Genomic DNA, 17,320 nt, shown 5'->3' with positions numbered 1-17,320 from the left:
GCTTTGGTTTTACCTCTGGGCACTTTTGCTCTATTACTTCACTGATAACAAAAGGAATCCAAACATGAAAAGAAAAAGAGGACAGCAAAATCAAATGAGTTGATGTTGGAGACTGGAGGAAAGAGGAGTCATCCTTGCTTTTAACTTTATAATCATTCCCATAATAATAAACCTTTATTAAACTGTGTGCCAGGCTCCAGTCTAAGCTCTTCAGATATCTTACTAGATCCTCGCCAAAACCTGATAATAGAAGAGCTATTTTTATTCCCATTTTGCAGTTGAAGAAATGAGGTAGCAAAAGGTTAAGAAATTTGCCGAAAGTCATATAGATACTAAATACCACAGCTGAGATTTGAACCAGACAGCCAGAATCCAGAGTGGCCCATATATCCACCATTCTGTCATATTTTGAGCAGCATTGGATGCCACTTGGAAGGTCATTAACTCTAGTCTTCATCTAGGGGTTTTGTTTATAAAGTTAGAGAGCACACAGATATTTAAAAGCCAGGAGGATAGAAAAGAAGATTATATAAAGCTGGGGGATTTACATAAAAGAAGGGATTGCAACTGAGAAGTGGATTCAGGAATTGCTAAATCTGCCTTAAAACTAAGTAGCAAACACAACTAGGATTATATATAATTTGCTGTCTGATTCCTGCCAAATTCCTACCTTTATTTAAGGTTTTCCATTTGTTAGAGTTTCCAAAATGGTAAGAGTGTGCTAAAAAGTTGCTAAATTTTTATTATAGTTGTGTCTAAATGCATAGACGGATCTTGTTGTTTTGATTGGCTCAACTGCTCAAGCATGTCAAAATGAAGATCTAAGTTATTGAAAAGCGTTTTATATTTTCTGTGTTTGTGTGTATAGACACAGATTATGTATGAGTGAATTTAAATTATATTTCAGAGAATATGAATTTGGCATGCTCTTGCTCATGTGGGTTTTTCACAGATCTGCTCCTTTCCATTTGTCTGAATCATTGGGACCTGATATTTTATGAAAGAGGGATGTGGTCTGTGAAAATCACATGCAGACATGTGGGTCCCTGCTGCTCTGATGTTAGAAACTCCTGTGTAGATGGCAGAAGTCTTGTTAGGGTGAGGGATGAGGAAGCAGACAGCCATTAGAGGTGTGAAATGGAATGTCAGCTGGCGCCCAGATCTGCCAAGCCCATTTCTTCCACCAAGTTGGAGTTCTGCTCGGTGTCTCTTCCACCTTCTGGGGAAAGGATTGGTGGCGGGCTGGGTTGGAGTGGTCCCCCCTGGGCAGGATCCATACGACTGCATCTTTGTAATCACTTTCCAGATGAATACTCTCATTTCATTTGGGAAGCCTGCCCAGTGTAGCAGCCAGGGAGATGGGGGAGGTGGTAGGGACAAGAGAGACGATGCTTTCTGAGCAGTTGGGTTTCTATACGTGGTTAGCAGTCCTTCACTACGACATGGAATCCCCCATCACCGTGCTCTGGTGTGGCCATTTGTCAGCCTGTGCTGGCCATCTTCGTTTAGAAACAAAACAAAAACCCACAGAAATTCCTAATTTCTACAGTCTTTTGTTAGTTTTAAAATTGTGCCTGTCAAAGCTAGAAGTCATACTCACCAAGGCTAGGGAATCGATCATTTAGCCCTATTAAAATTAGAATTATTCTGCCAGATTTTTTTTAGCAGTAACAGGAAACTTGAGACTCTGGATTTCTGCCAACTCTGTGACCTTTGCCTGTCATTAGGTCATTCTACCCATGCACCTATAAAATTGTGGCTGTAATACCTTCCGAAAGATTTCTGTTGTTTTAGTGAGAGTCATCCAATGAGTGCAGATGAAAGTCACTTCTTACTAATAACACACAAGTGCAGTAGGAAGGGAACATCTTTTTTGTCACATTCTTTGGTGGCATTCAGTGTCTATAAAGAGGCTCAGTCTTCTGGATTTCATGACCTCATGAGTCCCTCAGTATGCTTTTCTCTTCTATTCCTTGAGGTTTATCTCACTAACCAACATTCTTTTATCTCTAAACATTGTCTGTGATGGTTTAAGTATACATGGTTAAATATTCTAATTATTTGGAAGGCACATACTTGGGATCCCTGAAGACCCATCAGATTGTGTGATATGAGCCTCTTCATATCACATGTTCATTTTAGCAAATGCCCAGAGGAAAGTCTCATGAAGCCTGGAGCACCCAAGGCACATTGTCCTTAAATCTCGTGTTGGGTAGATGGTCTCCACAGAGCCAAGAGAATGGAACAGGGCAGTGTGTGGAGATGAGCCCCTCCTTTCTGAAATGTTCACACAATCTGAGACTGTGAAGAAGACCCATTATTCCTTCTATGCTCCATGCATTAGAAGATTAAGTCTGTGATTGAAACAATTGCTTATTTTAGCTTTTATATTGTGTAATATTGATCACTAAATCATACCCTTGACCTTACTGTTGTACAATTTATTAAAAGTATTAATTTTCTGGGCCATGACCTGCTTTGCCATATTGAGTATATACAACCAAAAAGAAACATGGTTTTTTATTATACATTGAGTTTGAGCTAAGTCCATTAAATTAAAAAAATTCTTCTTCAAACAGGAAAACTAATACATGTATATGGCTGGATTATCACTGGAAGATTGGAAACTTTTGATTTTGATGCTGAGTACATTGATAGGTAAGTGTGTGTTTGTTTTTGTGTTTAACTAGTTACATACATGCTGCATGGCTTCCTGGGACCAGCTTCCCTGATGGCAATAAATTGTAAGCAGTTGGCACAGAATTGCTATTTTCCTTTTTGCAGTTTATGGTCCCTCATGAGCTGGGCTTCAGCAAACTTTGTTAATGTAATTGCAACTGGTCAATTAAGTTGGTCCATTTATTTACTGACAACTAGTCACTCTGGGCTCAGTGTGAAATGAACTGTAATTGCATCTGTGGATTTTCTTTTTGAATTCTCACCCTTCCTTCCTTTGTTTCTCAGCCTGAAATAGATTCTTTATAAAATGATGTGTAAACCCAAAAGCCCATTATAACTTTCTTATTTGGTTGTTATCCATTTGTGCTTTAAAAATTGTATTAGTGGGGTCAGAGGAAAACATGGACACAGGTATTAAAAGCCATAGAGCTTTTAATGTTTTCTGGGAATGATTAGGATGTCAACATGACTTTCTTCACTGGAGACGTGGTGGAAAGTGTTACTATTAAATCATCCACACTGGAGAGAGAGAACAAGACAAAAAGTGTTGAAATTGTAGAGGCTGTAGGAAGCTCTAAGCAACTGTAATCATTCAACAAATGAAGCAATTGTACTGAGCATTTATAAGGTAGAAGGAAAATGATCTTACTATATACTCAGCTGCATAGATTCCATACATGGTGTCTAATTTTTCCTTCACTCTGGATGGGTTGGGGGCATCCTCTTCTGTTCTACTCCATCTGTCTGATTTTGCCCTAGTTGAAGAGAATATGATCTTATTACTCTCAGGATTGACATTTCTGGCATTAAGCAATGGTCAACTTACCTTACAAGAAAACTACTCTTCTTGTGGGGGGTAGAAACTCCTACTACATCCTTGGGAATGTGCCATATTTTGCTAGGTGATCCCATCTCAGCCTTGGTCTGGGATACAGCCTTTGAAAGGGGGAATAAAGGCATAAATGCAATATTATCTCTGTGTAGAATCAATATAGCCAGTGTGGAGATGATGAAGGTTTTTTGGGAAGGGAGAACTATTTTCTGTTTAGTGTGAAAGCATGAGCCATGAGTGCATCCCTACTCTCTGCTGAGAATTTGACTTGACATCCGCCTTCAGCCACCTGCAATAGTGCAGAAAAATCCAGAGGAGAGTGTTCATAGCCATGTTTCCTCTGAGTTTTGTGAGGAATGTTTATTGGGAGTATTGCACAATTATCTCTTGTCTTTTGTTTTCATTTTTTTTTAAATCCAGCCCAGTGATCTTGGAAGCTCAAGGAGACAAATGGGTTACTCCTTGCTCTCTTATAAATAGGCAGATGGGAAGCTGGTGAGTGTCTTATTATCTTGCCAATGCACATGCTTGTAAGTTCGTCCACATGGATACAACACACACACATTCTCTCTCTTTCTCTCCCCACTCACCATATATCTGTTTTTTTAAAATATAAATCACACATAGCTATTTACTACCTTATCTTTAGACTACTGAAAAAGACACAGGGATTGATTCAAAGTGCGTATTGAAGTGGATGCCAAAACCTTCCTTGAAAACACATAGCTAATACTTGTTAGGGGCTTACCATAGGCCAAGCTCTGCTCGAATGCTTTACATTGAAGTCACCCAATAATCTTGGGAGTATGTATGGTTATTAGTCTCACATTATAGATGAGGAATTTGAGACACAGAAAAGTTAAGTAACTTGCACAAGGTCTCACAGAGAGCAAGTGGCAGACCTGGGATTTGAACCCTGTCTAACTAATCATCCCCTAGAGTTCATGATCTTAACCACTATACTTCAGTGACTAGCCAAAGGTAAAAATAATAAAAAATTTAGAAATAAGTTTCTACACTCTCCAGTTTAAATACCCAATGTTTTGCTGGATTTTTACTTCACTCTGGACAGGGTGTGTTGCCCCTCCTTTGAGGCCATTACAAGAATGATACTCTATGGTTTCACTTTTTCAGACTGGTGTGTATTCTGCCCTTGTGTGTAGTCTTCCTTGTGTCTGCATTTTGTTTGCTCAGAATTGTCCTTTATGGGGTTCATACTTGATAACAGATTTTTTAAAAATAAAGGTTTTGTTATACTTGTCATATGACACATTTGAAAAGAAAGGACCAAATGCTTAAGGTAGTACTAGTTAGCACTAGGGCAAATGCTTAGGGTATTACTAACTAGTATATATAAAGGGTAATACTAGTTAGTATTACCCTAAGCATTTGCCCTAATGAACTCATTATACTTTCTCTGTCTACCATTTTCTCTAGCAAATTTGGTTTTCTTTTGCTTTCTACTTTCCTGGTTAAAGAGTCAGATCTTCTGGTAGTGAGTTGTCTGGTCATTCTTACCTCAGTTTGTCTTTTCCTTAGTTATCCTATTCAGGAGGACCATGGTCTTGGGACTCTGCAGTGCCATGTGGAAGGCGACTACATCGGTCTGTTAGAGAAGTAACATAATTTTAAAGTCTTATCCATTTCTTTCTCTGTATCCGGACAAAAGCAATTGCAAGATTGGTTCTCATGAGGATAATAATAATAACAATAATTACTATTTGTTAAGAATTCCCTGGAAAATACTACTATATGAAACAGCTCATATAGAAACTAATTTAATGCTCACATACACCTGTGAAGTTGGTGGTATTATTTTTGGCTTTGCAGGTGAGAAAAATTGAAGTTAGTTACCAGTAAATCAATATTTAAATGGTGCTCCATCTAACTCGAAGCCTGGGCTCTTCCCTGCTATGCAATACTGCATTTGCCCTTTTATTGCTAGAAGTCCACATTGCTAATGATGCTAAACTTATGAGGTGTTTTTTTTTTGTTTTTGTTTTTTTGTTTGTTTGTTTGTTTTTGCGGGGGGGAACCACTAAAGAAATTACAGGTTTGGGTGGTAATTTGATGATATTGGAGTCTTTGGGCTTATGAAAGCAATGGCCTGGCCCAGAAGACTCGTGCAGATTCCTGAGTTAATGTGTGTTTCTTTGTGTTACAGGCTCCCAGAATGTTAGCTTCTCAGTATTTAACAAAGGAAAGTAAGTAACTGGGTATAGAAATAGGCAAATTTGTCTTCATTTTATATTACCTATCTCTCTCATCTTGCTTACTTTCTTTATCTTTTTATGACGGAAAATGTTAAACATATAAAAACAGAATAGTATAATGAGACCACATATAACTCCTTGACTTTTTTACCTGGGTGAATGAAGTTGTGTCCTCTTCACTAATCTGTAGGCAATGTGTGTTTCAATATGGTGGTGTTGCAGAATTTTGGGAATTAAATCTTAAGTAATTTCAAAGTACTGTAGGTTGAAAACTGTCACAAGTATCTTATAAGGAACATGGTTTCATGAAATACATTGTACCATCTAGGAAGTGCCTTCTTGAAAATGGAAGGGGTCCACATTTTATCACACTTTGAAGTGATAAATTAGCATTCTGGAATTCTGAATCCTTACCTTATATTTTGCCCCTACATAATTTGACAGGTGTTTCTGTTAAAAGCGTAGGGTCTAATTGATAATAATTGCCTTGTAATGACAGTGACAATTATAGCTATACAGCCCAAAGTATGGAGATTTTCTCTCTTTCTCATTTTGGAAGAAATAAAATTAATGTCTATTGAGTATTGACTATAGGCCAACTAAGGACTAGGCCCTTTCACACTCATCATTTCATTGAACATTTGGGACATCCTATGAAGCAGGCATTATTCCCATATGATAATTTTATATATCAGAAAACAACTTTGTCCTGTTGGTATTGTTCTTTAGTTATCCAAGGGAGCTGCTATTTCAACTGTTCTAAAGATCAATAGAGGTTAGTTCCCAATCTTCCTTTCAGGCAGCCGACTAAAAAAAATGCAATCCCAGTTGATATTTTCATTCAAAACAGAACTTTGTCTTTTTCGAAGGTCAATGGTCCACAAGAAGGCATGGCTGATCAGTGCTAAACAGGATCTTTTCCTATACCAGACACACTCAGGTACTATCCCCCTTCACCAAGTACCCCTTCCCTTGTGCCTCACTCAATGTTGGCCCCTCCTTCCCTATCTTTTGGCCATTTCTTGATGACCATTAACACCCGAAGCTGTCCCTACAATCATAGACAGCCTGGTGTTTTTGGTTGAGATTAAATTGCTTGTATCCATGTCAGGTTTAGTTAATATATTAAAAGAGACTTGATAATAAACTTCTATACAAATTCTATGGATATAAACTGAATAAAAGAAAGGAGAGTCTTGCCTTATTCTGTCTTCTGAAAGTAAAAGAAAAAAGGTGGCACTTAAAAAGTCTTAAAGCACATCTTTCCAGTTACTTTAACATCCATCTCTGAGCATTCATTCAATAATTTATGACTAATATTGATATTAAGCTGTTCTGTTGCCATCTGATGAGTAAACCCTCATACTAAAAAAATGAATGTGAAAATTGGAAGCTTGCTTGGAATTGTGAACTCGATTTGGTAGTAGAAAGCTGGCTACTAAAGAATACTTAGATTCTAGAATGGAATACAGTCACACAGCCACTGAAGAAATGTCTGTGGGGTTGGTTCAGATTCCAGAAGCAATCAAAATCTACCTTTGTCAAAAGTGCAAGATAATTCACAGGTCATGGAGAAAATGTCATTTACTCTCTAGATAGCCTAATCCTGCAACAGCTGCATTTTGACCCTGATTTTTCCTTTCTTTCAACAGTATTGCTAGTCTATTTGGGGTAAGTTTGAAGAAGCGCCCAAGGTGATGGTGATAACGATAGCTGCTATAGAAAGAATGTCAGACCTTGTTAAGTGTCTTACATACAATCTCAATATTAATTTCACTTAACTATGAGATGGATTAACATTAGCCCCATTTTACAGATAAGGAAACAGACTCAGATAAACAAAGTATCTTGTCCAAAGCCAAAGGTCTTAGAGCTAGAATGTGTAGTTCTAATTCCAAATCTTATGTCCATAGCCAATATATGGTGGGAAGCACACTCTTCTTGCCACTCCACTCCAAGGTTTTTGTGAGCCTGCCCATTGCTATCAAACCCTAGAATGACTGATAGGCTGACAGGTATCTCTGATGACACAGCTCTTTTACATTTCCAGGGCAGTGTCTTCTTGGGATCAGGACTCACAGGCCAGAACTTCTTCACAGCAGAGCAGGCTGTAGGAAGAGAGGGTGTAGACAGCCATGAAGAGCCCTGGGCTGAGCTCCTCAGGGGCTGACATTCAATCACTAGTTAAGCCTTTTAAGCTTTTTGAGCCTTAATTAAGCATCTCTAAAACTGACAAAGTGGTGCTTATCCTTCTTATTCCAAAAGTCGTCTAAAGAGGTAGAGGAGCAAGAATCTTGGAATTCATCTAAAATTTCTCCTTCCTCCTCCTTTCCATATCTGTTCAATCACCAATTTCTGCCAGTTTTCTCTCTTATTTATGATGTATCTGTACAGCAACTCTCCATTTCTGGACCCCATCACCTCTTGTGTTACATGCTGCAGTGGTTTCTAGAGGCCCTGACTTGCCCTCTGCCCCTTCAAGCCCCTCCCTGGCTTTCTCTACATCAAGCATATATCTGATGCATGGTTCCTTCCTATTCACCATCCTCTTATGGCTTGCTATCCCCTACTGGAAATGGGGCAAACTTCTGACCTCCTCCTTGTCTGTTTCTCCAGCTTTATCTCTGTCTCTCATACTCCAGCCACACTTAACATGCACTGTGCAATTTCTTCTGTCCACACTCAGGCTATCTTTTGCTTTAAATGCCCTCTCCTTCTCCTCTTCGCTAGGCCACTTCTAATTCATCCTTTAAGACTCAGATTAGTGTCATCTCTAAACATTTTCTTCTACACCTCAATACTCCCATCCTACTCCCAAAGTTCTCTATTCTTTCATATACTCTCTAATTTCTCCGACCCAAGGTATTAAATGATAGTTTTGCATACCTGCCTTACCATGCTGATCTTCTCGAGGACAGGAACTATTTTGTATTCATCTTTATATTCCTAGTACCATATAATAGGTGCTCTGTGAATGTTGAAAAAAATTATCAAATATCTACAACTATGTTAAAAGTTTAAGAACTTCATAAATTTTGTTTTTGATCTGTGTAATTTTGAATGCATAACAAAAGAATGTGTTAATCTCTACGTAAAGCTGATACAAAATTCCAGTGCTAGTGTAAAAAAAAAGAAATTATAAAATAGTGGGTTAAAAGCAGGGGGTTATTATGGTTTAGTGGTGAATTTTGGTATCTGAGTGTAAGGGATCAATCTTTGCCTCCATATGTCTCCTCTGCTTTGTCTCATGGGCAAAAAGCATTATAAAATAACCTCCTAAAATGTCTATTTTTCAGGGGTAACCATTCATCATTAGCTTTTGTACCTTCAGTTTACACAAAATGCAACTCCTCTTTTCTCTGGAGGGAATGAATCTTAGAAATGTCAAAGCTTGATCGTAGGAGAGGAAAGAATGAGATAAAGCTAAATTCTGAGGACTATGTGTCATATTACTGTAGGTAATTTCTTTTTTTAAATTTTTTATTTTATTTTTTCTTGAGACAGGGTCTCGCTCTGTCACGCAGGCTGGAGTGCAGTGGCACCATCTTGGCTCAGTGCAACCTCCGCCTCCTGGGTTCAAGCAATTCTCCTGTCTCAGCCTCCCAAGCAGCTGGGATTACAGGTGCACACCACGGAACCCGGCTAATTTTTGTATTTTTAGAAGAGACAGGGTTTCACCATATTGGTCATGTTGGTCTCAAACTCCTGACCTCAGGTGATCCACCTGCCACTCGCTTCGGCCTCCCAAAGTTCTGGGATTACAGGCCTGAGTCACTGTAGGCAATTTTAAACAATCAGGAGCAGCATGAAAGAACTGGGTATGAGGTGTGAGGTACATGTGGGGAAGGAGCATTCAGTGTGGGAAAGAGTGGGAGGGTCCTAAAGACAGTGAAATTCATTCTTCTGCTTAGAGCAAATTACAGATTCATATGGGTGAACTGAAGCCTTTCCCAGTGTACCCAAAGTTGATTCCTCCTTGTGTTGTAACTTACTGTTCCCTGACTTGTCAATATTGTCCTTGAGGTCAGGAGACAGATTTTCTGAGAAAATGTCATGGTACTAGGGGCTTTTGCTGATACCATGAATGATTCCACATTTCCCCTTCCTTTCAAATATTGATCCTCGATAATATATACTTCTGGTCTTTTTCTTATTATGTGCATTTTTAAATAGTTATTACTAGAAAAAAATTCAACTGTTGCTGGACTTAGAAAGTTAAAGTAAGAAATTATTAATATCTCCTATTATTATATTATTATCTAGGTCATATTCTGGTCTATATTTGGAAGCTTACTTTTTTTTTTTTTTAACTCTTGCAGAAATATTATCTGTGTTTCCAGAAACTGGGAGCCTTGGGGGAAGAACAAACATCACAATTACAGGAGACTTTTTTGACAATTCTGCCCAGGTTACCATTGCAGGTAACTATGATGAAATGGCTGAAAATAGTTCATAGTTTTAGATGCTCTAGGAGATTATATGTCTGTATGGCATGAGGGATGCAGGAGGAAGCAAGCTTTGCCCCTTCTGACTCATCATGTTTGATAAGTCATGTGTTTGGTTGAGACCAGGTGGGATTTTGGTCCTACAGTACATGGGTCACAGGAATGGAATGTCCTGCAGACACACTCACAATGCATAGGCAATTCCCTCAGGTGCCCCTATCTTGTGAGTGAAGAGAAAGAAAGAAATACAGCTCCTTCTTGACAAAGGTTTACTTCTACTAAAAACAGCCCCTCTCTTCACTCTCCCTTGTTAGCTGTCTTGATATAGACAAGCAGGAGTGGGTGGGCATTTGCTATGCAGATTACTCTGGAAATCCCCCGCACCCCAACCTTGGCAAACCCTTTTATGGACCTGTCTAGAGCCTTTTGTTTTGCCAGGTCCTGTAGCAGGTGGGATGCCTCTGTAGTTGGTGACACCAAGGGTGTCCTCACACTGTCATGTCACACTTACCTCCCATGCTCAGTTAGGTGGTTCAGTACGTCCCCAATGAAGAGCACTCCATTGCATGGCTTTCCTTCTGAATACTCCACGCTGCCCTATGCTCTGCTGCTCTGCACTCTCTCTTTTCTCCTTCAATTGGGGTGACAACTTTCGCTATTCCATCCACACCCAGCCCTTTGCCTTAGAATAGGAGCCTGTCTACTTCAGTCTGGTCTTGCCATCACATCTCCCGACTGCCTCTCTCTCTCTCTGTCTCTCTCTCTCTCTCTCTCTCTCTCTCTATATATATATATATATATATATATATATATATATAATTATACATATACCCACACACATATACATATATATGTATACCTACACACACACACATACATAAATTTCTTTAATTCGCTTTAGGCATTCCATGTGATATTAGACACGTGTCTCCCAGGAAGATTGAGTGCACCACTCGGGCTCCAGGAAAAGATGTGAGGCTCACCACCCCTCAGCCAGGTAAGGAAGCCACCAGGGCTGTTCAATAAACTCTGAATATCTTTAATCATGATGGGCTGGCGAGTAGAAATAAAAGTGTTTGAATTCTTTCTCATCTATTTGACTGGCTTACTCAGTGAGCCCTGGGTCCATGATACCATTGTCAAGGCTCTCCTTTCAGGAAGGCTCTTAGCTTTATTCAGGTGCTTAGTGACATTGCACTTCTAGCTCCAGCCAGCTGTATGGCCAGTGGCGTCCAGAAGAGACCATGGTCTAGAAAGCATAACTGCCCTCAAGATATTGTTATAGCTACTGGAAGAAACCCCCAAACTGCCCGCCTTCATTCAATGGGTCAGTTGCACGTCCACTGGCTAAGAAGACAGGAGCGTTAGAGTGTGCTCTGCTATGCTCAAAACAACAGCATTAGACAAGGTCGGAGAGTAGGGCACAATGGGATGCATTTAAATATGAATTTTTCTCTCTTGTGGGCATCTGTCTGCTGCTTTGAGAAACAGGGATATATTGTGATGTTGCCACCAGGTTATGCCTGAAGTGGGCAGAAATGGAGGAGGCAAGGGAGCTTCCAGCTGTCCTTCTCTGTTTAAAGCATCCACCCTACAGCAGCAAATTAAGAGCACAATACTGGAGCACTTTTCTGCTGAGCATTAGAACTGAAGGCTCAAGTGTAGTCAGGGATGAAGGGCAGTTGGTATGTTACTCAGCCAAGAACCACAGGCTGCACATCTGTGCCCAAGGGCCTGACTTAATGGTTAAACTACAGGCAGCGAGAGTCAACTCTAGAGGCACAGCACCTACAAGGAAAGTTGCCCAGCAGGGGAAGAAACCTTTCTAAAGAAAGGGCATTCAGGTGTGAAAATGCATGCAAAGTTTTGGCTTGAGAATTCTCCAGCTCCCAGATCTGCAGTTTTTACTCAGGGAAAGCTTCCATCCAAGGAAACAAAACTACTGAAACAAGTAATCAAGATAATGTGTGTTTCCTGTCAGGAAATAGAGAGTCTGCTCCCTTTTTCAGTATTTCCTGCTTTAGCTACTTGGGTAGTGGTAGGATAATTTCCTGAATGCAGCTGGTTTGACAGTTAGTGTTGTCCTTTATGAAGGGCTTTTGAAGTTTCTTCCACAGAAGCTGGGCGAATTACTATGGAAACCAATTGTTCTCAACCAGGGGCAATGTTGCCCCTCGGGGGACACGTAGCAATGTGTAGAAACATGTTTGGCTGTTAGACCGGAAGTGGTGGTGGTGGTGATGATACTGACATCTAGTGGGCTGAGGCTGGGAAGGCTGCTAGACATTGTGCAATGCATAGGACACCCCCTCACAACAGTTACCCAGCCTAAAATATCAATAGTGCTGGGGTGGAGAAACCCTGGTTTAAAGTAATATTTTCAAAATATGCTCTTACTTTTCTGTTTATTCCTTATCCACCTCTCCCTTTTAGGAGTTGTTGAGGAACAACAGTATTAGTTTAAAATAATAATTACCATAATTACCTTTATTGAGCACTTACTGTATTCCAGGCTCTTTGAGTATATATTTTCCCTTGGTCCTAGTGTATTATTGCTATTTTATTATTGGTCCCATTTTGATGCATGAGAAAATGAAGATGCAAGGACATCAAGGAATTTGCTCAAAGCTACACGTCTAGCTGGGATTCCAGAGTTTTGCCTTCAGCCCAAGTTAGCATTCAATATTGATTGCACCTGTGCCTTTGGCCTCAGGGTTTGCTTAACACAAAATATAAATTAATACAATATCATTTAAAATGTCACATAATAGCAGCATGCCACATATTTGGCTCTGTGTGCAGGTCCACAAATTGAGGCCATGACACTTGAGAAACTTAAGGATTGCCAATGTTATGGGGAAAAAAGACTTTAGAGAATTGAATTTCACAGCAGAACTGGGACTTAAAAGATACTGAAGCCCACTTCTGGCTTTGGGAAGCACAAAGCCAAGCCACGTCACCAGCACACAGTCACATTGTCCTCCTTTTACTCAGCCTCAGCTTCTGTTTGCTCATTCAATTCACATTTTCTCCAGGACTTGATTCTCTTTTCTAGGAACTCTTGCTAAAAAAGGCTAACTCCTAACCCATGGAATGTTTATTACTTTCCGGAACATTTGTATTTCATATTAACTACAGAACCTTTCATATAACTACTCTATCTGGCTCTAGGTTGACTTACCTTTACAGGTAGCATCTGGGTCATCTTTCACCTTGTAATTTAAAATAAAGTAATTCCCCAATTTGGGAAGGTGCGCCCTGTAATGTTTATGCGATCTACATGTCTTACAGGCAATCGAGGGCTTCTTTTTGAAGTTGGAGATGCTGTTGAGGGACTGGAACTGACTGAAGCCACCCCAGGGTACAGGTGGCAGATTGTCCCTAATGCCAGTTCTCCATTTGGGTTTTGGTCACAGGAAGGACAACCTTTCAGGTATGTTGTAGGAAAAGTGGGAGCCCACATCAAAAGCACCTTTGCTAACCTAGGTGAGGCTAGGAGACAGATAAGGAAGGTATCAAGATTTCCAGGAATTTATAACACTAGCCAATTCAACAACAACAGAGTTTGACAGTATTCTCAATCAGTGTTGGTCATGCTAGTGCAGGGACAAATTTTGATCAATATGTAATATGTATATTTTCCACAACTTAGTTTACAATCTGTTTTGGAGATGATTATCAACTAGAACATTGAGCTGAGCAGGCCAGGAGACTGGAAAGACAGCAGAGTAAAACATGCTTTAGGTACCTGGTTAAGAGGTAAAACTAACATCTGGTTGATGCCAAAGAAAGATCCAAGAATTTGCCCTTTGGGTACATGAGGGAGCAAAGCCTAGGCAGCATGCTGTAGGAACAGCCTTCCAGTGCTGAAGGTCAACCCAATGGCCCTTGTATAGTAGGGGAAGCTCTTGCGGGTTCTGTGAGACATTGTTTTCAGTAGTAGTGATGGCATCATGATTCTAATTTTCCTGTTTAATGGTGTGTAATTCCTTTAGTCTTTTTAGTCCCTTCAAGGATGTAGCCAAAATTTCTAGTATTCTAAAGTAAACTTAAAAATATAAAAGCTTGAAAATTGCTTAGACACACTGTTTCCTTAGTGTGTTCTCAGTGTATATGTTGAAGGATGGATCCTTTACTGAATGATGGATCTCTTTTCCCTTTGAAATCCTTCTTAGAGAGGATGACTGTGACTCATGAGTGTGAATTTCAGTCAGTCTGTGACCTCCTCCAAATATTTTACCATTTTATTAGGTTGGTGCAAAAGTAATTGCGGTTTTTACCGTTGAAGGTAATGGCAAAAACCGCAATTACTTTTGCACCAATCTAATAGATTTCAACTCAGTTGTGTAAAGAAAAGCTTAGAGAATTTTTAGGCATTGAATAAGCCAAGTAGGGTTGGTAATCTGTGAGCAGGAAAGTGTCTCCTGAAGCCTTACTTACTAGGTACTTAACCATGAGTTTATGGTTTTAAAGTGGCAGTTAAGGCTGGATGCTATGGCTTGAGCCTGTAATCCCATCTACTTGGGAGGCTGAGACAGGAGGATCGCCTGAGTCTAGGAGTTTGGGACTAGGCCCTGTCTCTAAAACGTAAAAAATAAAAAATTAGCCAGGTGTGATGGTGTGCACCTGTAGCTACTTGAGAGGCTGAAGTGGAGAATTGTTTGAGCTCAGGAGTTAGGGCTGCAGCGAGCCATGATCACACCACTGCACTCCAGCCTGGGCAACAGAGTGAGACTCTGTCTTTAAACAAAGAAACAAATAAACAAAAATGTGGCAGTTAATTTGTGGTCCATTGTAGCACCTAATAATTCATATTTATCATAGTTTTTAACGACCATTTAATAATGTTCAAAGGAAAATCTTTCAGCTGCATTTGGTGTATTTGGGAGTGTTAAGGAGTGAGTCAGCCTACCCCAAAAGGCAAAAGAACATTTTGACTTCTATAGTAAGTGTTGCAGGGTATGTCCCTTTAACTGCCATTTTGAGGAACCACAAGCCAGGTAGTAACTAATTTTCCATTCCCTCTCTCATTAATCTCTTTAAAATCTAAAAATTTTAAATTAAAAAATTAAAATATTCATTTATTGGTAAGTTAATATAATTATATTGTGGACTTTTAAAGTAGTTATGTTTGAAGCTATTTTTAGGTATGAAATTATCTCAAAAATAAAGATAATGTATGTACATTAAAGCAAAATTTAAAAACATCTTTATATTGATCATCTGAAGATTTAAGAAAATAGCATTATCAGAAAATATTCTTGGTATTTATTTACAGAGTCTAATCAGTTCTTTAACTATATCTGCCTATAATATTAGGTTGCTGGAATTTAAATATTAAAAATATTATCTTTTAAAAAATGTTTTATGAAATTGCCTGTAATCTTCTTCAAAGTTGCATTTGATGGGTTTTAATTTGAAATTGTTGACATTTTGAATTGACGCTTATCTGTGGATCATAATATTTTTAATTAGAAAAATGCTCTCTGCAGGTGTTGAGGTAGCTGGTAAGCTCAGAGCAAATTCTCATAAGCAATCTGTCTTTATTTCTAATAATAAGAATAGTATTTACTATAGATTGAGCTTCTACCATGATCCAGGGCTTGCAATAGCTGTGTTAGGTGGTTTTGTCAGCTAAGCTTCCGTATAGCTGTGTGCTGTGGCTACAACTTTCCCAAACATGACACAACAGCAAGGGTATTTGTGTCCAGTGTAGAGATGTATTGGGCTACTGAGACTAGGCAGGTGCTATATCTCTTTCTAGAATATTCTGGACAATTGTGTGGCATAAGAATCAGGTTGTTCTTCTTTATTACCATAAAAGAAGACAAAGTACAAGGGCAGTCATTTGTTGGTTCAGTGATTCAGGCCTTGGTTACTCTTGCTTGACTCTATGTTCTACTTTACAGAGCACGGCTCAGTGGGTTCTTTGTGGCTCCAGAGACAAATAATTACACTTTCTGGATTCAGGCAGATAGCCAAGCTTCCTTGCATTTCAGTTGGTCAGAGGAACCAAGGACTAAGGTATTCACTGTCTTCTCATTTTCCTTTTCTCTGTTGCCAGTCCCATACCCATGAAGAAAGAAAGAATCAAAGTTAAGGCTCTCATGTTTTACAGATAGTTTAACATGCCATTGGATGATCAGGAACTTTAATTGTTGAAAAAGAACTTGTTTGAATGTGAACGTACTATTTATTGAGCATTTACTGTAAGCCAAATATTATGCTACATCTTTTATAGACCTTGTCTCTAGTTTTCACTGCATCTCTGCAAAATGTATGTATGTATGTATATATGTATATATATTATGTATGTGTTTGTGTGTATATACACATATATACATAAAGATATATGTATGTATCTTTTCCACATGAAGAAATTGAGGCTTGGAAAGATTGTGTGGGCCAGGTGTGGTGGCTCATTCCTGTAATCCTAGTGCTTTGGGAGGCTGAGGCAGGCAGATCACTTGAGCCCAGGAGTTTGAGACCAGCCTGGGCAACATGATAAAACCCTGTCTCTATTAAAAATACAAAAATTAGCCAGGCATGGTGGCGCATGCCTATAGTCCCAACTACTTGAGGGGCTGAGGCAGGAGGATCACCTGAGCCTTGGGCAGTCGTGGCTGCCACTGCACTCCAGTCTGGGCAACAGAGTGAGACCTTGTCTCAAAAAAAAAAAAAAAAAAAAAAAAGAAAAAGAAAAAGAAAAAAAAGAAAGATTGTGTGCCCAATCCACTTGGATAGCAAAAGGCACATTGAGGATTCAACCCCAAATTTACCTGACTACAAAACTTGTGCCTTTTCCACTAATTTTGGGTGGAGATGTAGGCAGCTGTATGTAGGAATTCCTCAACAACATTGAAGGATAAGAAAAGATGCCTTTAACAGCAGCCAAAATGCACTTATGCTATTGACAAAGAATCACAATATTTTCCTCAAATTATTACTATGTATGTCTGAAATTGATTTGCTAGTTTATTGGAGAAATGTCATAGATTTTGATGTGATCAAGTCATTCGAGGTCTCTGAAGGGCTTAATACTACCTTCTCCATAGTGTCATGTAATCCTAGGGTTTAGGTTGGTTGTTCCTTCTCTGAACATGGCCCATCTATTCTCATTTGAGTACTACTCAATTGTAAGAGATAGATAG

The 17,320-nt window shown here is 39.3% G+C and overlaps 1 protein-coding gene and 1 long non-coding RNA gene across 21 annotated transcripts in view; one reads left to right on the top strand and one right to left on the bottom strand.

The window, feature by feature from the left end:
* The window catches only part of PKHD1 (PKHD1 ciliary IPT domain containing fibrocystin/polyductin), a 472,317-nt gene that overhangs the window by 11,495 nt on the left and 443,502 nt on the right, over positions 1–17,320 (top strand). For 17 of the 20 annotated variants that reach the window (XR_001743469.2, XM_017010944.3, XM_017010947.3 and 14 more), the window contains exons 7-15: positions 2,580–2,658; positions 3,932–4,006; positions 5,051–5,115; positions 5,676–5,715; positions 6,594–6,664; positions 10,044–10,145; positions 11,071–11,166; positions 13,461–13,602; positions 16,079–16,193. Coding sequence is in view for 19 of the 20 variants with exons in the window: in XM_017010944.3 (XP_016866433.1) it covers positions 2,580–2,658; positions 3,932–4,006; positions 5,051–5,115; positions 5,676–5,715; positions 6,594–6,664; positions 10,044–10,145; positions 11,071–11,166; positions 13,461–13,602; positions 16,079–16,193 (785 nt within the window). In the remaining variant the exon portion in view is untranslated. The other 3 variants (XM_017010945.3, XM_011514684.4, XM_017010948.3) reach the window with 3 other exon arrangements.
* LOC124901327 (uncharacterized) lies at positions 3,342–5,118 on the bottom strand. Its single transcript, XR_007059606.1, has 3 exons — positions 5,030–5,118; positions 3,506–3,615; positions 3,342–3,434 (listed from the first exon to the last, which is right to left on the bottom strand). It is a non-coding gene; the product is annotated as an uncharacterized LOC124901327 (long non-coding RNA).

Source organism: Homo sapiens, chromosome 6, assembly GCF_000001405.40.
Source record: "Homo sapiens chromosome 6, GRCh38.p14 Primary Assembly".
Classification (NCBI taxonomy): Eukaryota; Metazoa; Chordata; class Mammalia; order Primates; family Hominidae; genus Homo; species Homo sapiens.
The sequence above is the reverse complement of the archived record's forward strand: the minus strand, read 5'-3'. Positions and strand labels throughout refer to the sequence as shown.